Source organism: Homo sapiens, chromosome 9 (genome assembly GCF_000001405.40).
Source record: "Homo sapiens chromosome 9, GRCh38.p14 Primary Assembly".
In the NCBI taxonomy this organism is placed as follows: domain Eukaryota; kingdom Metazoa; phylum Chordata; class Mammalia; order Primates; family Hominidae; genus Homo; species Homo sapiens.
Window position 1 is genome coordinate 97,792,303 of NC_000009.12, and position 22,177 is coordinate 97,814,479.

Genomic DNA, 22,177 nt, shown 5'->3' on the forward strand with positions numbered 1-22,177 from the left:
CTGAGACACCTATTAGACATCCAAGTAGAGGTATAAAATATAAGGTTGGATATATATGAGTGTGAGCTAGACAGAGCTGTATGTAGTTTTGGGAGGCACTGCAGCATATTCAAAGCCTTGGGCCAGAGGAGCTCAGGAGCTCACCAGGGAGAAGATGGATCTAAAGAAGGAGATCTATGGCCAAGACTTGCAGCACTATGACATTTAGAAATCAAGCAGCAAATGTGCAGGGCTGCTAAGGAGACTACAAAGGGACAACTAAAAAGATATGATATTCTAGAAGCCAAGAGAAGAAAGCAGTTCAAGAAGGGTGTGGCCAACTCTATCAACCATATAATACGCTGCTGAGAGATCAAATAAGGACAGAGAAGTGACCACTGGAGGTCATCAGCAGCCTCGTGAAAAACAGTCTCAGTGGGGTGGAAGAAAGAGAGGACCCATAGCACAGGGCTGAGCAGAGAATCAAAGGTGAGGAAGTAGACACAGGAGACAACTCCCTGAAAAGGGCTTCTGTGAGGGACAGCAGAGAACTAGATCAGCTACAGGAAAAGGTAGGGTAAGGAAAAGGCTCTGCAAACCCTGGAGATACTGGAACAGGTCTGCATTTTGGGGGAATGATCTGAGTGGAAAGAAAGAACCTAGAGATGCAGCAGAGATAGGAGAATTGCAGAAGCAAAGTCCTCTAAAAAACCAAGAGGCCAGAGGATTAAGCTTACAAGCGAAGAGGGTTTCTCTTGGTAAAAGCAAAGATACTTTATCCACAGCAATATGAAGACACGAAGGAAATATTAACACAAATTCAGATGAATTGGGAGGTATGCTGGGAAGATAAAGGTCCTCCTTTATCAAGGACACAGCCAAACCATATCAAGGAGGACCTATATAACTGCTTCTATTTTTTCAGTGAAATATGAGATGAGGTCATCAGGTAAGAATGAGGGAAGATAACAAGGTGGATGGCCCTTCCTGACAGATAAGAGGCCCCAGTAAGTGAGGGAGGCAAGGGAGGCAGGAGGTAAAAATGTGAAATAGTTGTTTTGAAGACTGGGAAGTGGAACACATAGTGAAGGGTAGGATTGCTGAGCAGGGCTGAGTGCTCATTTGAGATCTGTGGTCATGAATTTAAAGCAAGACCAGTTGGTCTAGATATATGTTTTTCTCTCATGACGTTTACCGGCTTGAGTTCAGGTATGTAGTAGTCAGATGTGTAGGCTTAAGCTGAGAGCAAATATGAAGGAAGAAGAGTGGAATACAGGAATTAGAATACTTGAAATAGAGTAGTTATGATGATGAACCACAGAAATTTAGCTGGTTAAGGAAGGAAGTGAGAACCTGAGGGAAATGACAGATAGTGGGAAAAGTGGAAGGGCCAGTGTATTGGAAGTCTTGATGAGGTGGATTGGAAATACTGCCCCAAGGGAGCTGGGATGAAAGGAGGTAGCAGGCAGAGAATGTAGGTTTTTGGTGATGGTATGGTCATGGACATGACAAAGGTAATGAGTGGCTGGAATGGAACAGATCAAAAGAGTAAATTAAAAAGAAGATGTATTAGTCTGTTCTCACAATGCTAACAAAGACATAACCTGAGCCTGGGTAATTTATAAAAGAAAGAGATTTAATTGACTCGCAGTTCAGCATGGCTGGGGAGGCCTCAGGAAACTTACAATCATGGTGGAATGGGAAGCCAACACGTACTTCTTCACATGGTAGCAGGAAGCAAAAGTGCTGAGCAAAAGGGGGAAAAGGCCCTTATAAAACCATCAGATCTTGTGAGAACTCACTCATTATCACCAGAACAGTATGAGGGTAACTGTCCCCATGATTAAATTACCTCCCACTTGGTCCATCCCACGACACGTGGGGATTATGGGAACTACAATTCAAGATGAGATTTGGGTGGGGACACAGCCAAACCATATCAGAAGATCAAAGAGAAACATGGAAACTAGAAGCCAATGTATTGGATGTCTCACCCATATGAATGTTGAAATTACCAGGAATGGTGTCAGGAAAAAGGATAGACAGGAAGACAGTGTGCCAGTGCTAAAGACACCCACTAATGAGGGTAAATAGAGCATTCATATGGGCATTAAAGGAGTGGAGAGTTGAAGGAAGAGGGAGAAGGGATGGGTTCAGAAGTGACCACAGAAGGCAAGGAGGACCACTTACACAACTTCCCCACCTCAGGCCCTCAGGTACCCAGTTTTTAAGAGGAAAGACACCTTCCACCTCAGTAGGTTGTAAAAGAAATAATGTCATGAGCAGATATTCAGCTTTCATTTAATGCAAAAAAGTAAGTGAGCACTCAGAGAAGTAATTGAGGATATTGGAAAGAGTGTAATTGACAGCCATGAGTTCACAAACCCACAGAGAAAAGGTTTGGGAGCACAGGAAGGAAAGGAAAATTGAGTCAAAACAGAGACTCTTCCAAGTGGCATGGGAATTAGGGTCCCCTTGACCTGAGGAGCTTGGGTTTCTGGAGATGACTGAAGTGGACAGGAATGAAAGGCATCCTGAAATTAGTCTTAAGAGTCTCTTAGGGGAAGGTGGACTTGAGACAAAAGGCACAATGCTGGTTAGCAACAATTCTCTACTGTGCCTGTGAGTAATGCAGAAGCCAGAATGAGTCCCTGAAGGGATTGTTCTCTTAAGGGGAGTTCACTGTGAAGGCTTCCGGGGAGGGTCCATCTACCCTGAAAATGGATCCCTAGGGTTGACTTTTCCAACTCCTCAGGTGGTGCAGTGTTATGATGCTCTGGAGCACAAGGAGCTCAGAGCCTGCCACTGTGCTGCTGGGTGGTGTGGTGGTGTGGCGGGCAGGCTCCCAAATCATTCCACACAAGTGACATTTGTGTAAACACCACTGTAATTTCTCTGTTGGAGTCTGCAGACCCATCCTCAAGTTATCAGGGAGAATTTTAATTTTTCTATATTGATAATAAGCTTAACAAATAATAAAATCATATTCTATGTCCTCTAGATGTGAGGCTACCAGATAAATTACAGGACTCCCAGTTAAATTTAGATTTCACATAAACAGTGAATGCTTTTCTAGTATAAATATATCTCAGATATTGCATGATACATATTTCTACCAAAAAATTATACTTTATAACTATTGCCACCTGATGTTAGTACCTGTGTGTATGCATTTATTATATGTTTATTATACAATAAAGAGATTTATTATAAGGAATTGGCTTAAACAATTTGGAGGCTGGCAAGACCCAGGATCTGCAGGATAAATCCAGCAGCTGGAGACCCAGGAGAGCTAACGGCATAGTTCCAGTCTGAAGGCTGCAGGCTCAAGAACCAGAAAAAGAGTCAATGTCCCAGTTTGGAGGCAGTCAGGCAGGAAGAATCCTCTGTTACTCAAGGAAGAGTCAGCCTTTTTTCTAGTGAAGTGTCAACTGATTTGGTGAGACCCACCAACATCAGGGAGGGCAATCTGCTTTGCTCAGTCCGTTGATGTAAATGTTAATCTCATCCAAAACCACCCTTGCAGAAACACGCAGAATATTTGACTAAATATCTGGGCACCCCAGAACCCAGTCAAGTTGACACACCAAATTCACCATCACAGTGTTCATGTTTGCACTGTTTATGATGAAACTGGGACCAAGCAGTAACATTAATGAGAGGCCTGATTCTCCTGCCTCAGACTGCCGAGTGCCTGCAATTGCAGGCGCGTGCCGCCATGCCTGACTGGTTTTCGTATTTTTTTGGTGGAGACGGGGTTTCGCTGTGTTGGCCGGGCTGGTCTCCAGCTCCTAACCGGGAGTGATCCGCCAGCCTCGGCCTCCCGAGGTGCCGGGATTGCAGACAGAGTCTCGTTCACTCAGTGCTCAATGGTGCCCAGGCTGGAGTGCAGTGGCGTGATCTCGGCTCGCTGCAACCTCCACCTCCCAGCCGCCTGCCTTGGCCTCCCAGAGTGCCGAGATTGCAGCCTCTGCCCGGCCGCCACCCCGTCTGGGAGGTGGGGAGCGTCTCTGCCTGGCCGCCCATCGTCTGGGATGTGAGGAGCCCCTCTGCCCGGCCGCCCATCGTCTGGGATGTGAGGAGCCCCTCTGTCCGGCTGCCCAGTCTGGAAGGTGAGGAGCATCTCTGCCCGGCCGCCATCCCGTCTGGGAAGTGAGGAGCGCCTCTTCCCTGCCGCCATCCCATCTAGGAAGTGAGGAGTGTCTCTGCCGGGCCGCCCATCGTCTGGGATGTGGGGAGCGCCTCTGCCCTGCCGCCCCGTCCGGGATGTGAGGAGCGTCTCTGCCCGGCCGCCCCGTCTGAGAGGTGAGGAGCCCCTCCGCCTGGCAGCCGCCCCGTCTGAGAAGTGAGGAGCCCCTCTGCCCGGCAGCCACCCCGTCTGGGAAGTGAGGAGCGTCTCCGCCCGGCAGCCACCCCGTCCGGGAGGGAGGTGGGGGGGTCAGCCGCCTCGTCCGGGAGGGAGGTGGGGGTGTCAGCCCCCCGCCCGGCCAGCCGCCCCATGCGGGAGGGAGGTGGGGGGGTCAGCCCCCCGCCCGGCCAGCCGCCCCATCTGGGAGGTGAGGGGCGCCTCTGCCCGGCCACCCCTACTGGGAGGTGAGGAGCCCCTCTGCCCGGCCAGCCGCCCCATCCAGGAGGGAGGTGGGGGGGTCAGCCCCCCGCCCGGCCACCCGCCCCGTCCGGGAGGGAGGTGGGGGGGTCAGCCCCCTGCCCGGCCAGCCGCCCTGTCCGGGAGGGAGGTGGGGTGGTCAGCCCCCCGCCCGGCCAGCCGCCCCATCCGGGAGGTGAGGGGCGCCTCTGCCCGGCCACCCCTACTGGGAAGTGAGGAGCTCCTCTGCCCAGCCACCACCCCGTCTGGGAGGTGTACCCAACAGCTCACTGAGAACGGGCCATGATGACAATGGCGGTTTTGTGGAATAGAAAGAGGGGAAAGGTGGGGAAAAGATTGAGAAATCGGATGGTTGCCGTGTCTGTGTAGAAAGAGGTAGATATGGGAGACTTTTCATTTTGTTCTGTACTAAGAGAAATTCTTCTGCCTTGGGATCCTGTTGATCGGTGACCTTACCCCCAACCCTGTGCTCTCTGAAACATGTGCTGTGTCCACTCAGGGTTGAATGGATTAAGGGCGGTGCAAGATGTGCTTTGTTAAACAGATGCTTGAAGGCAGCATGCTCGTTAAGAGTCATCACCACTCCCTAATCTCAAGTACCCAGGGACACAAACACTGTGGAAGGCCGCAGGGTCCTCTGCCTAGGAAAACCAGAGACCTTTGTTCACTTGTTTGTCTGCTGACCTTCCCTTCACTATTGTCCTGTGACCCTGCCAAATCCCCCTCTGTGAGAAACACGCAAGAATGATCAATTAAAAAAAAAAATCCACAAAATTGATAAATTCATGGCTAATCCAGAAATAATGAGAGAAAGAAAATGCATATTATAAATATCAACATTGAAAGAAAATTGTCACTACAGATCCTTAAAGACAGTAAAAGGACGATGAAGAAATATTTTGAATAAACATATGCCAACAATTGGGGCTACTTGCTAATCATCTATTGTGAAGAGCTGTTTAAAAACATAATACATATAGGCAAGGCGCTGTGGCTCATGCCTGTAATCCCAGTATTTTGGGGGGCTAAGGCGGGTGGATCACCTGAGGTCAGGAGTTCATGACTAGCTTGGCCAACATGGTGAAACCCCATCTCTACTAAGAATACAAAAATTAGCCAGGCGTGGTGGTGGGCGCCTATAAGCCCAGCTACTCGGGAGGCTGAGGCAGGAGGATTGCTTGAACCTGGCAGGCAGAGGTTGCAGTGAACTGAGATCACGCCATTGCACTCCAGCCTGAGCCACAGAGTGAGACTCCATCTCAAAAAAGTAATAATACATATAAAGAGAATGTATACAAAAATGCTTATATTACACACTGATGCCAACTATAAGCCAGGCTTTTTGTATACCATATTTCACACATCCTCATAATTTCATGGGTAGAAATGATTTGCTCTGCTTTATAGGTGAGGAAACTGGAGCTGAGAAATAGTAACTTTCCAAAATCTTCACAGACAATAAAGAAAAGAGTTGTTATTTGAATCCGTTATCTACTTAGCTCCACAGTATATGCTTTTAAATGATATAACATGTTGCTATAGTGATACATATATATTTTGCCCTAATTGATACTAATTATATCTTCTAAGTCTCTCTTTTCTCATCCTCTCTCACGTTCCAAATGCTAAAATTGTGTATTTTGATACAAAAAATAAAGCAGCTGAACTTTTTTTCTTAAAAGCAAAACATATATTACAAAGTAATGGGACAATAATCTGTGATCTAAAAGTCCTAAGAAATTATAATAACTAAGAAAGAACAAATGAGTTTTAAGTAGTATGAGCATAATATAAGATAATCATAATCACAACAACCTCCAAGCTCTCTGGGTCAGGAAGCAGATTTTATGCAGCTTCATATTTGCCATAGGAACTTTGTCAAATTCTATATCTGAAAGTATTATACAACTTAAATGGACATGACAGAATAAAAATAAAATAAAATTATTACCAAATGAAAAAAAAAAAAAAAACATTAATGAGAAAAGGGAGGCAGACCCAATCCCAAGGTGTAATATGGCCATGTTAACTAAAATGAAAGAATATCACAGCCCTGTAAGAAGCAAGCTTTCTCAGAAGTTCAAATAGAGAAAGTTCAAACTGAGTCATCCACACACAGCATTACAGTCATGACAAATCCCAAAGAGCCTGCCCCTTAACAGGTTAGCCCCATAGTAACACTGCAAGTAGCCATTTAGTGTCAGCAACAAAAAAAAAAAAAAAAAAAAAAAAAAAAAAAAAAAAAAAAAAAAAAATTCCATCATATTAAACATATGGGTTTCTATTTTGATTTTGTTTGTAGCATCGTATTTAATTCATAAATTTGTTTTGGTTTTATTGTTTAAAGGCTATATCTAGTTTTACATTTCTACATACTTAAATAATGTTAAACTAAAACTCATTTAAGTTACACATTAAGTACCGAGGAGTTTGTGAGATTTTTCTCCTTTTAAATGGGTTCATTAGTCTGTTATTCTTAGTTTGAGAAACACTTATTATAATAATATAAAAGCATTTATGGCCCTTTTTTAGGGGATTTGTGTTTTGGAGCATTTCATTTGCATAATTCATTGAACTAGATATTATTAGAGGGGTTTTTTTAAAATAACAAATTGAAAAAAGTGTGTACTGTGTGCTACACTGAATTAGAAAATGTTGCACATTATATCTCCTCTTAGATATACACAAAGCATTTTAGCGAATAAAAGACTTGGAGAAATCGGGCAGAAAAAGATATCAGATGCTTTTCTCAGTGTTCACTCAGTTTCATTCAGTGTTCCCAAGCTTATCTGAGCAAAGACTACCTCTATTGCAGCAACTATCAATATCCTAAGAAATAGCTTTCTTTGAAAAACCAGTTTGGAAAACATTCATCTATAACACTATCTAGAATAAGGATATTCTATTAACATTTTTGTGCCAAAGACTCTTCTAGCAGCCTAGTGATACCTATGGACATCTTCTTAGAATAATGTTTTTAAATGCATTAAAAATATAAAGGAATACAAAGGAAACCAATTATATTCAAATACAGTTTTCAAAATAACTTTAAAACAAATGGGAGTATCTGAAGGAGAGGAGAAGAAGGAAAGGACAAAAGAAATATTTAAAGAAATAATAGAGGCCGGGCCCAGTGGCTCATGCCTGTAATCCCAGCACTTTGGGAGGCCGAGGCAGGCGGATCACTTGAGGTCAGGAGTACGAGACCAGCCTGGCCAACATGGTGAAACCTCGTCTCTACTAAAACTACAAAAATTAGTCGGGCATGGCGGCGCATGCCTGTAATCCCAGCTACTCGGGAGGCTGAGGCAGGAGAATCACTTGAACCCAGGAGGCGGAGGTTGTGGTGAGCTAAGATCACACCACAGCACTCCAGCCTGGGCAACAAGAGCAAAACTCCATCTCAAAAAAGAAAGAAAGAAAGAGAGAAAGAAAGGCAGAGAGAAAGGAAGGGAGGAAGGAAGGGAGGGAGGGAGGGAGGGAGGGAGGGAGGGAGGGAAAGAAAGGCAGGCCGGTCAATGGCCACATATTGTATGCTTTCTTCATGTGAAATATCTAGAATAGGCAAATCTGTACAAACAGAAAGTAGAATAGTGCTTGCCTGAAGTAGGGAGGTGGAAGGTGGTGAGGAGGGTTGGGAGATGATGGCCAAAAAGAACAGGGTTTCTCTTTCGGATAATGAAAACATTCTAAAATTGAGTGCAGTGATGGGTGCACATCATCAACACATATAATAATATACAGTTAATTGTACATTTAAATGGGTGAATTGTATGGTAGATAAATTATATCTCAACAAATGTGTTTAAAAACGAACGGTCAAAAGTTCCCAAAAGTTGGAAAGTATACATGCAAAGATCTAAGAAGCCCAGTGAATTCCAAACAAAAGAATGACACCAAGGCACATTTCAAAACAAATGATAAAGGAAAAATCTAAAAAGTAGTCAGAGAAAGACACATATTATATACAGTGGGAACAAAGATAAAGATGACAGCAGATTTGTTATTGGAAGAAAATGCAAGCTAGAAGACAGTGGGGAAAAAATCTTTAATGTAAAAATGTCAACCGAGAACTTCACACACAGTAAAAGTATCTTTCAGAAACAAAGGCAACACAATGAGATACCACTTCATATCGATTAGAATGGCTATTATCCAAAAAACGGGAAGATATAACAAGTGTTGGCAGGGATATGTAGAAATTGGAACCCTTGTACCTTGCTGGTGGGAATGTAACAAGATGCAGCCACTATGGAAGACAGTTTGGTGGTTCTTCAAAACATTAAACATACAATTACATATGACCCAGCAATTCCATTCCTAGGTATATATCCCAAATAATTGAAAACAAGTGTCTAAACCAAAGCCTATACACCAATGTTCATAGTAGCAGTCTTCACAATAGCCAAAAGATAGGAACAACTCCTTTTAATCACATTTATCAGCCAAAAATAGTCACATGACCATGCTTTATTTCAAGGGGACAGAAGAGTATATGCATCCACATACTTAGAAGTAAAAGAGAATTGGATAATTGGTGAACATTAACTATCTTCCACGATTACCTGTGATACTAAAAATTATTTCCACACCAACATATTGCAAAGAGATTGAAACAGAACTTGCTCAAAGAATGTGAACTGTCCCATGAACCAGAGGTCCTACCCAGAAAAAGTGGGAGAACTGCAACTCCAGCCACACCTTATTCTCTCAATACATTCCCAGTATGGACGGCCAAAATTCCAGAAACCCCAAGGACATCTGGGTGGCAGCTCTATTTGATTAAAAAGTCTCTTAACTGGCAGAGGTTGCCGTGAGCTGAAATCGCGCCATTGCACTCCAGCCTGGGTAACAAGAGCGAAACTCTGTCTCAAAAAAAAAAAAAAGTCTCTTAGCTGCCTAGAAACCAACGTTCTTCCTTTTCACTTGCTATGCATGCTATCAGATACCTCTACCACTTGTTCATTCAATATCCCTTGTCTATGCCCAGCTGATGGAGAAACCCATCAGGTACAGTCCACAACCAGGAGTCTAAACAAAGCACTATGGGAACACAGACGAAGGAGCAAATCATTTTTGTAGTGTTTTGCACTCTGATCTAGCCACATTTTTCCTGCTTTTGTGATACAAACCTGCGTCCCCCAGCTTCCCAACTCTGCAGCTGAGCAGCTTTGTGGCCATAGGCAAATCCCTTCACTTAGAATTCTGAGGCTTGGTTTCCTCAGCTGTAAAATGGGAATGATAACACCTACCTCCTAGGATTATTGTGAGAACAAGAATGAGATAATGTCTATAGAAACGCGTTTTGTGTCAGTCCAAGTTATCACCCCCATCAGCATCATCGTGGCTGTCTTCTACCGTCTAGAAGGGGAGCCCCAGGGCTGGAGAAGGCCCAGGGAAGAGAGGGGTTCCCAGGCCGACCCTCTTACTCTGGGGGAGTCGGGGCCTCTCTCCTAATTAACTCTTCCTGGCAGAAGTTTCTTGCTGGACGTGTTTGCCTACCAGTGAAAAGCCAAGTGAGGCTTCCAGGGGCCTCCCACTGGCCCTGACACATCAGGTAAGAATGATGATTCACCAAACTCTAACAGCCTTGCTGACAGGCCCACTGGCCCAGTCCAGGCAGAGGCCGGAGAGGGCTGCCCAGGCAGCGGGGCCATTAGGTTTTATAGAAGTGAGAGAAGGAGAGAGGGAGGGGAAGAAAAGGGAGAGATAAAGGAAAAGAAACAAAGGCCCCAAAAGGGAAAAAGAACAGAAGAAACACAAAGTAGAATAATGGTTAGGAGGGGCGGTGGGATGGGGAGTTGTTTAATTGGTATAAAGTCTGTTTTGCAAGATGAAAAAGTTCTAGAGCTCTGCTGCACAACAATGTGAATACAGCTAACACTACTGAACTGCACACTTAAAATGGTTAAGATGGTAAATTTCATGTGACATGTTCTCCACAACAATTAAAAATATTAAAATACATGTTTAAAAGAAATGAGGCCGGGCGTGGTGGCTCACGCCTGTAATTCCAGCACTTTGGGAGGCCAAGGCAGGTGGATCACGAGGTCAGGAGTTCAAGACCAGCTTGGCCAACATGGTGAAACCCCTTCTCTACTAAAAACACAAAAAAATTAGCCGGGCGTGGTGGCGGGAGCCTGTAATCCCAGCTACTCGGGAGGCTGAGGCAGGAGAATCGCTTCAACCCGGGAGGCGGAGGTTGCAGTGAGCCGAGATCGCGCCATTGCCCTCCAGCCTGGGCGACAGAGGGAGACTCCGTCTCAGAAAAAAAAGAAAGAAAGAAAATAAAAGAAAAAGAAAAAGGAGAGGAGGAAAGGAAGAAAGGAGAGAGAGGAGAAAGAAAGGAAGCAGGCGGAAGAGAAGGAGGGAGGGAGGAAGAGAAAGGAAGCAGAGAGAAGGAAGGCGGGAGGGAGGAGAAAAGGAAAATTAAAAGGAAGGAGATGGGGAAGGGAGAAGGAAACGGACGGAAAGAGGGAGGAATGAGAGGGATAAAAAGGAAGAGATGGGAGATGGGAAGAAAGAAAAACAGCTGACAGGGAGGAGGAGGAGGAAGGACGAAGCGGCGCAGGTGGACAGGTGGCCTCGCATCGCTTCCTCCCCAGGCCCGGCCCAGCGCGGGGGCGGGGCAACCGCGGGGCGTGGCTGCGCGTGACGTCACCGCCCCCGCCGCCCCGCCCCGTCCCCGCTCCCGGGCCTTGTGAAATCGCGCGCGCTGGCGGCCGTCGTAGACCGTGCAGCTCTCCTTGGGTGGCTGCGAGTGCCTTGGCCGTGGGCCCTGTGCGCGGCCAGCCCCGGCGGCGGGAGGGCGATAATTGCCCAGAGACGCAGCACTTACCTGGGCCGGTTGTGCAAGGCGCGCGGGGGGAGGCCCCGGGCGGCGGCTCTCACGCCTCAGCGGCCAGGCATGCGCGGGGGCGAGGGCGGGCCAGGGTCCCGGGGAGCGCCTCCAGCGGTTCCCGTTGCGGACGCCGCCCCATTCTTCAGGAAAGAGCCGCCGCCCGTCACCGCTGGGGATGGGGAGACCCGCGCTCCCATCCCGCTTGGCCACCTGCTGGGGTGAGTGGCGTCGGTCTAGTTCCACACGTGCCTCTGAACCCCAAGCGCCTCCTCTGTGTACTAGGGGTAAAAACGCCACCTCTCTGATCCTCTGGTTGAGAGGATTAGAAATGATGCAGGTGAGGCCTGGAACACTGCCAGACACACATTAGGTACATGGAATGGTGGCCTCGATGCCCACAGACTGCCAGTCAAAACTAGGGTTAAAGTTGTGTCTCCCACTGACTTGCTGGTGACTTTGGGATGTTTACCTCCCCTCTCTGGTCTTCAGTTTCCTCTTCAGAAATTGGAGTTTGATGCTCACCTTCATCGTGGGCCAGGATGATGGCCTGTGCTAGCCGTCCTTGAAAAGGCGAGGCCGGGCTGAGGGTGCACTGGGTTTAGACATAGCAAGTGTCTCCTGTCACTTGTGCCTAGTTCCTGGGGCCATGGTCCTTGGAGCTGCTGTTAGAGAGGGATGGAGTGGGACAGGGTATCCTGACCTTACACCAGGATCCCTAGAAGTGTGATCACACATACACACATAGGCACACACATATACACATACATCACACTACATACACACAGGTGCACACACAACCCAGGGAGGTCTGACAGGAGCTGCAGTCACCCAGCACCTTCTTTGAGCCTTTGAGGCCAGTCCTCCCCAGGGCTTTAAGGTGGTGTTGCTGTCCCAACCAACAAGTAAGGAACTGAGGCAAGAGGAGGGCAGGTAAGCTTGGTCCTGGGGGCAGCCACTTGCAGTGGGGCCTCATTCTACACCAACACTTTGAGATTGTAGTCCAACCTTGGGAAGGAAGCAGAGCTAGTCACTTGCTCAGGCTCAAGTCTGGGGTGCCCAAAGACAGTTCCATAGGGGAGCCACTCTTTGGATCTGGCCTGAGAGTCCCTGCTTTCCTCCTTCCCCTTTTTAAACCTTGAAAGTATGCAGGACAAAAAGACTCAAAGAATTATATAAAAATAATAAATACCCGTCATCCAAAATAAAAAATGTTAAATTAAAAAAGGAGAAGTGGCTGGGCGCGGTGGCTCACGCCTGTAATCCCAACACTTTGGGAGGCCGAGGCGAGCGGATCACAAGGTCAGGAGTTTGAGACCAGCCTGGCCAATATGGTGAAACCCCGTCTCTACTAAAAATACAAAAAAACTAGCCGGGCATGGTGGCACGCTCCTGTAGTCCCAGCTACTCGGGAGGCTGAGGCAGGAGAATCGCTTGAACTCAGGAGGCAGAGGTTGAAGTGAATCCAGATTGCGCCACTGCACTCCAACCTGGGCAATAGAGGGAGACTCCGTCTCAAAAAAAAAAAAAAAAAAAAAAAAAAAAGGAGAAGTTAGAGTATGATGGTTCCCACTTCACCAATCTGTTGGGAGGATTAAAATAATAAGGTGACCCTTGGAAAGTGTGAGGGATATACCTGCATCAGATTCTCCCAACCACTGTCCTCCTTGCCCTCAGCTTCCGTGACAACAGGCACTCCTGGTTTTCTTCCTACCTCTCTGGCTGCTCCTTCCAGTCTTTTTGCAGGTTCCCACTCACTTACACATGCCTTAAAAGTCGGTGGGCTTAGGGGTAACCAATTTAGGCATCCCTCTCTTGTAGGCATCCCTCTCTTGTAGGCATCCCACTCTTCCTTGGGATGACTTAGTGATTACATCCTCTCCAAGACTTCAGGTCCCAGTGTCCTGCGATTGTATGAGATTTTAATTTTGTTCGTTTTGCTAATTCATATCTTCTGTATTTGCTCTCAAATTGTGTGATTTTTTAAATAAATCATTTTTAAATAAAATGTTTATTGATTGATTGGGTATTTTTATCCCAACATGGCTGGGATCCTTAAGCCTCTTGGAGCTCCTTGGAGGGGCCCGAGAAGCTAGGACAAAAATGCCTCTCACCTATATCCAGTTCGAATACATAGCCATGTCAGTGGGAAGGAAAAACAGTTGCTCCTTTGGTAGAAATGGCTACTGGAGGAAATTTGATTCATTGAAGAACTTGGCTTGGGAATTTGCAGACTGGTAGCACTCATCAAGGCCTTGGAGATCTTCGGATTCTACCCCCTCATCTTGGAATCAGGAAACTGGAAACCCAAAGATGATTGATTACTGGCCCCACCTGCCAGATGGCACAGGAAGGTAATGGCAGAGCCAGAATTTGAACATGTTTCCTCACTCTGTGGTCCCTGCTCATTTTGAAATATGTCCCTACCCATCCCAGCAATTGACCCCAAGACAGTCTACACACACACATACACACACACACACGGGCAGCCTAATTTTCCATCCAAAGTCTTTACATTCAGAAAGCAGATTAATCTTGGATTCACTTGATTTCCCATGGGGATCTCTCATACTAATCCTTCAGAAAAGTGAACCAACTTAAATCCCCCACCAAGCTCTGTTCTAAGGAGGAATATTCAACTCTGTGGCAATTACATTCCAAAGTCCCTATTTTCTGTAGAGAGCTTCCCTGGTGTTAACCACTTTTCCTTAGTTATTCTTTTATTTTTTTATTTTTATTTTGTTTTATTTTATTCTTTTATTCTACCAACAACTCCACAATGTAGGTATTAGTGTTCTTTTGCTCTGTGAGAAAACTGAACTTCAAAAAGGTTAAATAACTTTCTCAAAGACACAGCAATAAGTGGCAGAACCAGGATTCAAACACTCATTCTCAGGACACCAGACCTTGTACCTCAGTGTTCCCTGGTCCACCCTGCCAGACCAGAGCAGAGGTCCTTTGTACAGGTTGCAGGGAAGCTTTTTTGAGACTCACAGGAAATGAGAGCTAAAATGACCTTGTAGGTCCTCATTTCACATTTCGTTCCATCTTTCAAACAAACCACATTGTACAGAATGGTTTAAACCATGACTTCTGGACAGAGAATCTGAATTTAAATCCTGGCTCAACCACTGACTAATTGTGCAACTTTGGGCAAGTTACTTAATCTCTCTGTGCCTCAGATTCCTCATCTGTAGAGTGTGGATAATAATAGTACTTAATTCATAGAGGTGTTATGAGGATGAAATGAGTTTCAACATGAAAGTACATAAAACACTGCTTGACACATAGTAAGCTCTCCATAAATGGAGAGCTTTTACCAGGGTCGTCATCATCATTGCTACACTATTATTACTACTACTAAGAGTTTGTGATACACTGGGTCTTAAGATAGTGAATGGGAAGACAAAGATGACATAGACACTGTCCTCTCCTTACAGAACTCATCCTGTGGAAGGAGAAGGATACAGAAACTATATATGATTACAATTTAATAATATAGTAAATGCAACAAGAGTGATGTGTGTGGACACTCCAGAGAGTAGACAAGACTTGTTCAAGGCAACAGCAAAGTTAGGACTTGAGCCCAGTTATCCTGAGCCTCTTTCTATTCCACCTTATTGACTGGGAATGTGCCTGTGGACTGCACATATAGGTGTGACCCCAAAGTCCTCGCACATGGTACCAAAAAGAGCTTCCTATGGCCATGGCTTCTCCAGCTGAAGATGTTACTAAAGTGAAGAGATAGTCAATGAACATCTGTTGAATGAGTAAATGAATCAAAGGCCCTGGTGAGAGGCCAGCCAATTTTCTCACCCCACCCAACGTGTAGGCTTGAGGCAATGGCAGGGGAAAGCAGTTCTACATGAGCCCTGGAGGACAGCTGGTCCCCCTCTTCATCCTCAAAAGGATGTTTCCTCATCCTTTTGTTCCTTTTGTTCCTTCATCCTCAAAAGGATGTTTCCTTCATCCTCAAAAGGATGTCTGTGATGGCACTGCCATACACAGACCCCTCCTTTACCACAGCTATTTCTGATGCCCTCAAGAGAAATTTTAACTCACTCAAATCAATCATTTGCACAATTCTGTGATTTGTATGTGCCCAACTCTGTAGAGGGGAAGGTGAATCAACAACACTCCCTACCCTCGGGGTGCTCAAATTCCAGCAGGAAAACATGACAAATTGCTAGCCTGCAGGGTAGAAAGTGATCAGTCCCTGAGAAAGGGGCAGACCACAAAGACAACCAGCATTCAGATAATTAGAGCTCTCACAGACAATTAGAGCTCTCACAGTACAGTCGACTGAGTAATGTTGCCAAAGATGTGCATCCATGAATCTTGGGAACCTGTGAATATTACTCTATATGACACATGGGTCTTTGCAGGTATGATTAAAGTAAGGATCCTAATGTGGGTAGGATATCCTGGCTTATCCACATGGGCCCTAAATGTAAACATTTGTTTCAGCAGCTATAGGAAAATAATACAGATAGATTGCTGACTGTATGCTAAGCATTCTCATTGAGTTTTTTCCATGAACTCCAAAGCCAGACTGCCTGGGTTCAAATCATGGCCCCTTTTCTTTCCATCTGTGTGGCTTTAGTCAATTTTCCTCTGTGGGCTTCAGTTTCCTCATTTATAGAAGAGAAATAATATTTAGTAACCTCCTCCCCCATAGGAATGATGTAAGGAATGATATGTAGGAGATATTCTAAATGCTCACCATTATTTGGTTCTCCTTTCCTTCCTAGTTGTTTGGGAATCTACACTTCCTGCCCCCTGCAGCAAGAGGCACCATGTGGCTAGTTCTGGACAATGAAATGTGAGCGGTGAAAAGCCCCAGTGGGACCTGGGTCACATGACCACAAACCTATGGGCACATCACAAGCTCTCTCAGACTCAGTGACAATATCGGACTTCTCCAGTGTCCAATGTCCCTTCCAACCCTCAGTCCCCAGGACGCTGAGCACCATGTGACAAAATGGACAGTAAACAAGAGAGCAGGAGAGAAGAGATTTAAAGGGTTCCTGCAGCAGTGTGAAGCATGCAGTGTGTGCGTGGTGTGGATTCCCCAGAGGATACGTGCATAGCACCAAAGGTGATCGTAGGTAGCTCCAGGATGAACTTCATTGTTATAATAATTAATTAATTTAATTAATTATGGCAAATTATACTGGGTTTCCATCCAAAGTTTCTTTTTAGAGTAAACGTACATTTTTTAAAAATGAGTTAGTTTAAAGAAAAATATTGATTACTCTCACAAGTGGTTTGTAGATATGACAAAAATTGTAAAGGCAGAATCAAAAGACTAAAATTATGGTGAACGTCCCTGGAACAATGAAAAGAACATGGGCTTTGGAATCAGGCCAGGGTTTGAATCCAGTTCCTCCAATTGTTAGCAGTGTGACCTCATTACTCAAGCTCTCTGAGATTGTTTCCTCCTCATTACTTTTTAATGGAGATCATTAACCAAACCTCATGTTGGTGGGGGTGATGGCAGTGTGAAGGGATGGAGTGGGAGGAGGTGCATGGGGGTGTGAGGGGGGGGGCGGTGGGGAGGTGTGAGGATTATGGCTTACTTTCACCACTGCTGTTCTTACATTCCTCTTTCTTATTGTTGCCCCTGGGTCTTGACCCAGTTTGTAAATTGGGGTCCAATCCAACCCAATTCCCAGATGCCTGGCCAGGCTCCGGGGACAGAACCCAATAGGACCAGCTTCCTGCCCTCCAGGAGCTCCCAGCCGAGTGGGGCAACTAACATGGTCTCAAAGATCCACAGTCCACAGCCAAAATGCCATGGGAGACAAGCAGAGGTGGTGGCATGGAGGCCCTGAGATGGCTCTGAGGAGAGCCACAGGCACCAGAGATGGATCTTGACCCGTGAGTAAGATTTCAACAGGCGCTGAGGGTAGGGAATGCAAACCAGATTTCCTTACTCTCTGAGCCTCAGTTTCCTCTTTGGTAAAATTTAAGTAATATTTCCTATGTTTTTGCTATGATACTGTAAGGATTAAGTGGGATAAAGCTTAGGACGCACCTACCACAGTGCCAGGCTCATGTTAGGCCCTGGATAAATACAGGCAATTACTTTCCTATTATGCTGGATGATAAAGCCCCGGTGGGTGGCCCCTTTCATAATGAAACTGTCTCCTCCTTCCCTATGACTCACCTGCAGGGGATTGCCCAGGGGCACAGATGTCCCAGGCTCCTGGGTGGGTTGGAACCATCAAGCTCCCTGAAGAAAGGCTCCCAAGACAGGGAACATAATTATTCCCCCAGGACAGAGTTGGACTTCAAGTGCAGCTTTCCACCATCTATGGAGAGAAAGACCATGTCTTGGAGTCAGCTCCAGACCCTTCCAGCCTCCACGGAAAAGCCTGCTGTGCAGGAGCCCAGAGAGACCACCTATTGGGAAGAAACAGGAGACCAGGGCTTAAATCATTCGTTGCTGTCTGAACAGCATCACAGCCCTTTCTCCCTCCAGGCCTCCGTGTTCTAAGGGTAGAAGTGGGCTGACTGAAAAAACCACCAGGATAGCAAAGACCAATCAGAGCAGACACTGGCAGGGGTCTGGAGGTCCCCCCTGGGCTGGGTGTTTGTCCTCTGCTTGCTGGGGATAGGGTTGTCCAGAGGTCCTGGGATGGGCCGGCACACTCAGAACAACAGGAGGAGACCACTTAGGGAACTGGAGGGAGCAATTCTCAGCCTGCTCCCACCAACCTCCTGCACAGGGCAGTTATGAGCCAGATGCAGACGTGCTTTACCAGCTGGATGTCCATCTGCCCATCTCCATGGGCCATTCTTCCCTAGCTCCCTAACCATGAAGAGAGAACTAGACACGTAGCCCAGCCTCACAGCCTCTCTTCAATGCTGAAAACGCACAGATCTTGCCCACAGTTACACAGGTGAATCAGTTGCTCAGGCCCTGGCCATAACCAGTCTCCTGCCATCTGACCCAGTGCAGCTTTTCTTCCCATTGCTAACTGTCCAGAGGCAAAGCATCCCTCAGGGGCAGGTGGTGACAAGGACCAAGGTGGTAAGAGTGAGAAGGGCCTGTGGCAGAGGTGTAGAATGTGCACTGGGGGCATGGTGTGCTTCCCACAGTGGAAAAGGGCCTGTCCCCTTCCCCCTACTTCCCCCTGAGTGCTGGAGCTGCGTCTGGCACATGCTGGCTCCACCTCAACGTCAAATGTGCATCCTCCAAGTCCCTCTCCCTGACGAAGGCCCACATTCCCAAAGAAGAGTCTGGGGCCTCAAATTTTTTTTTTTTTTTTTTTTTTTTTTTTTGTGAGATGGAGTTTTGCTCTTGTTGCCCAGGCTGGAGTGCAATAGCATGATCTCGGCTCACTACAACCTCCGCCTCCCGGGTTCAAGCGATTCTCCTGCCTCAGCCTCCCGAATAGCTGGGACTATAGGTGTGCACCACCACACCCGGCTAATTGTGTATTTTTAGTAGAGACGGGGTTTTACAATGTTGGTCAGCCTGGTCTCAAACTCCTGACCCCAAGTGATCCACCCCCCTCAGCCTCCCAAAGTGCTGGGATTACAGAAGTGAGCCACCGTGCCTGGCCAACCTCACAATTTTTGTAAAGCTTTATTGAAGTATAACTTACACACCATGAAATTCACCCATTTAAGTGTACAATGCTATGACTTTTAGTAAATTCACGGAATTGTGTAACCATCACCATAGTCTAGTTTCAGAAGTCTTTCCATCATCCCACAAAGATTCCTCATGCCCATTTGCAATCAATCCTTATTTCCATTGCCAGCCCCAGGCAAACCACTATCAGTTGCTTCTATAGATTGGCTTTTTCTGACATTATGTATCAACAGAATCATATAATATGTGGTCTTTTGTGTCCGGCTTCTTACACTTAGCATAATTTTTTTTTTAGTTTTATCCATGTTGTGGCATGTACAGTACTTCATTCCTTACCTCATTCATTTTGTATTCCTGGCATCCTGCCAGTGCCTGGCAGATAGTAGGTGCTTAATAAGGGGCTGAGGAATTTCACATGGAGACCAGATGCCCTTCCAAAATGAGGGCAACTATCTGCAAAAACCCCACTCAACTCCAAGCTGCTACGGACAAAGGCGCTGATTGTCATGTCTGCTGCCGATGGTATGAACATAGCAATTTGTTTTCATACCTACGACTGTATGGAGTGAACTGTCATGCCCTCCATCTCACATGTGCTGCAGCATCCCCTCCACTTGTTTTGAATTTGCCCTTATTCCCCCTTCATCCTGGCTCTGAAAACCACAGTGACTCATCCTTCTGAGATTAGCTCTCCTTCTTCAACCCTGAGTAGCTGTATTGCCTGAACTAGTTGGAGAAGAACTCTCCAAATACAACTAGAGCTCCTTGAGAGGAAAACAGCTCTGTGGAAAAATGTACTTACCTTGAATTGGCAAGGGCCACCGCCAGTCTCAGAAAGATAAGAAATCGACTTTTCCTCTCTTGCCTTGGCACCAGATTCACTGGTAGCTCTAGGAAGGAAAAAGGTTGACTATCTTTTGTATGGTCAATCTATAAATATTTCTGTAGAAAACAGAAGCATTAAACATTTTCTGCATAGGCTCTTGGGCTCCCAGCCTCGGGCCTAACTCAGTTCAAACACCTACTGTGTTTCTATTTTGTGTCAGGTGCTATAGTAACCTTGGGAGGGGCAGGCAGAGACATACAAGTTTTTTCTTCTTTTGATTGTGGTAAAATACATGTGTAACAGAAAATCTGCCATTTTAACCACGTTTAAGTATGCAATTCAGTGGCATTAATTACATTTACAGTGTTGTACAACTGTTACCACCATCTAGTCCCAAATTTTTTTGGTCACTCCAAACAAAAACTGTGTAGTCACTAAACAATAACTTCCCATTCCCTTGGTCCCCAGTCCCTAGTAAGCTCTAATCTACTTTCTGTCTGTATAAATTTGCCTATTCTAGATATTTTATATATGTGGAATAATACAATGTTTGTCCCTTTGTGTCTGGCTTTTTTCACTTAGCATAATGTTTTCAAGGTTCATACATTTTGTTGCATATATCAGCACTGCATTCCTTCTTTATGGCTGAATAATATTCCTATATACATACAGATGTATATAGAAATATATACACACATATATAGGAATATATGTACACACATATATATAGGAGACATATATATGTGTATATATATACACATATATATACACATATATACATATATATACACATATATATGTGTATACATATATACACATATACACATATATATATATATATATATACACACACATACATACCACATTTTGTTTATTCCTCTGTTGCTGAACACGGATTGTTTTCACCTTTTAGCTATTTTTGAATAGTGCTGCTGTGAACATTCTTGTACAAGTGTTTCTTTCAACACTTGTTTTCAGTTACTTTGGGTATATACCTAGGAGTGAAATTGTTGGGTCATATGGTAACTCTATAGTTAACTTTTTAAGGAACTGCCAAAGTGTTTCAACAGTAGCTGCACCATTTTACATTCCCAAGAGCAGTGTATGAGGTTTCCAGTTTTTCTACATCATCTCCAACACTTGTTATTTTTCACATTTTTAATTTTACCTTTTCTAGTAGATGTGAAATGATATCTCATTGTGGTTTTTATTTGCATATCCATAATGACCAATAAGGTTGAGCTTCTTTTCACATGCTGATTGGCCACCTATATAACTTCTTTGGAGTAATGTCTGTTGTAGTCTTTTGTCCATTTTTAATTGGGTAGTTTGGGTGTTTCTTTGTTCTTCAGTTGTAAGAATTCTTTGTATATTCTGGATATTAAACTTTATCAAATGTGTGATATGAAAATATTTTCTCCCTTTCCATGGATTGTCTTTTTACTCACTTGGTAGTTTCATTTGATTCAAGAAAGTTTTTGGTTTTGAGAAGGTACAATGTATCTATTTTTGCTGTTGTTGCCTATGCTTTTAATGTCAAAAAATGATGTTAAGAAACCATTGCCAGGCCGGGTGCAGTGGGTTCACACCTGTAATCCCAGCACTTTGGGAGGCCGAGTTGGGTGGATCGCTTGAACCCAGGAATTCAAGACCAGCCTGGGCAACATGGCAAAACCCTGTTGCTACAAAAAATACAAAAGTTGGCCAGGTGTGGTGGCGTCCACCTGTAGTCCCAGTTACTCGACAGGCTGAGTTGGGAGGATCACTTGAGCCCAAGAGATTGAGGCTGCAGTGAACCGTGATCGCACCACTGAACTTTAGCCTAGGCCACAGAGTAAGACCTGTCTCAGGAAAAGAAAACAAAAGAAAAGAAACCATTACCAAATCAAGGTCATGAAGATTTGCCCCTATGATTTTTTTCCAAGGTTTTTATAATTTTAGCTCTTACATTTAGATCTTTAATCAATTTTGAATTAATTTTTGTGTATGACATAAGGTAAGGGTCCAACTTCATTCTTTTATATGTGAATATCCAGTTTTTCCAGCACCATTTGTTGAAGAGACTGTTTTTCCCCATTGAATGGCCTTGGCACCCTTTTCAAAAATCAGCTGACCATAGATGTGAGGGTTTATTTGTGGATGCTTAACTCTATTCCATTGGTCTAATATGCCTATTAGCCTGTTCCCCTGGTCTGCATGCCAGTACCACATGTTTTGATTACTGTAGCTTTGTGGTAAGTTTTGAAATTGGAATGAAAGAGTCCTCCAACTTCATTCTTTGTTAAGATTGTTTTGGCGATTCTGGATCCCTTGAAATTCCACATA

General features: G+C 45.1%; 1 long non-coding RNA gene across 1 annotated transcript in view, besides 2 other annotated features; it reads right to left on the minus strand.

Annotated features, from left to right (window-relative positions):
• Window positions 1-22,177, minus strand: part of PTCSC2 (papillary thyroid carcinoma susceptibility candidate 2) — a 153,456-nt gene that overhangs the window by 92,678 nt on the left and 38,601 nt on the right. The window contains exons 2-5 of the long non-coding RNA NR_147055.1: window positions 17,593-17,737; window positions 13,538-13,722; window positions 13,186-13,327; window positions 11,949-12,088 (exon numbers count right to left, since the gene is read on the minus strand). This is a non-coding gene — a long non-coding RNA (papillary thyroid carcinoma susceptibility candidate 2). The remainder of the gene's footprint in view (window positions 1-11,948; window positions 12,089-13,185; window positions 13,328-13,537; window positions 13,723-17,592; window positions 17,738-22,177) is intronic.
• Window positions 11,099-11,668: a silencer, noted in NCBI's record as "silent region_20103". NCBI's record gives its function as "represses an Ori minimal core promoter by ATAC-STARR-seq in GM12878 lymphoblastoid cells {active_cell/tissue: GM12878}" and the evidence as "EXISTENCE:reporter gene assay evidence [ECO:0000049][PMID:35858748]".
• Window positions 16,592-17,791: an enhancer, noted in NCBI's record as "CDK7 strongly-dependent group 2 enhancer chr9:100571176-100572375 (GRCh37/hg19 assembly coordinates)". NCBI's record gives its function as "activates an origin of replication core promoter dependent on BRD2, BRD4, P300/CBP, MED14 and CDK7 cofactors, with strong dependence on CDK7, by STARR-seq in HCT116 cells {active_cell/tissue: HCT116}" and the evidence as "EXISTENCE:reporter gene assay evidence [ECO:0000049][PMID:35650434]".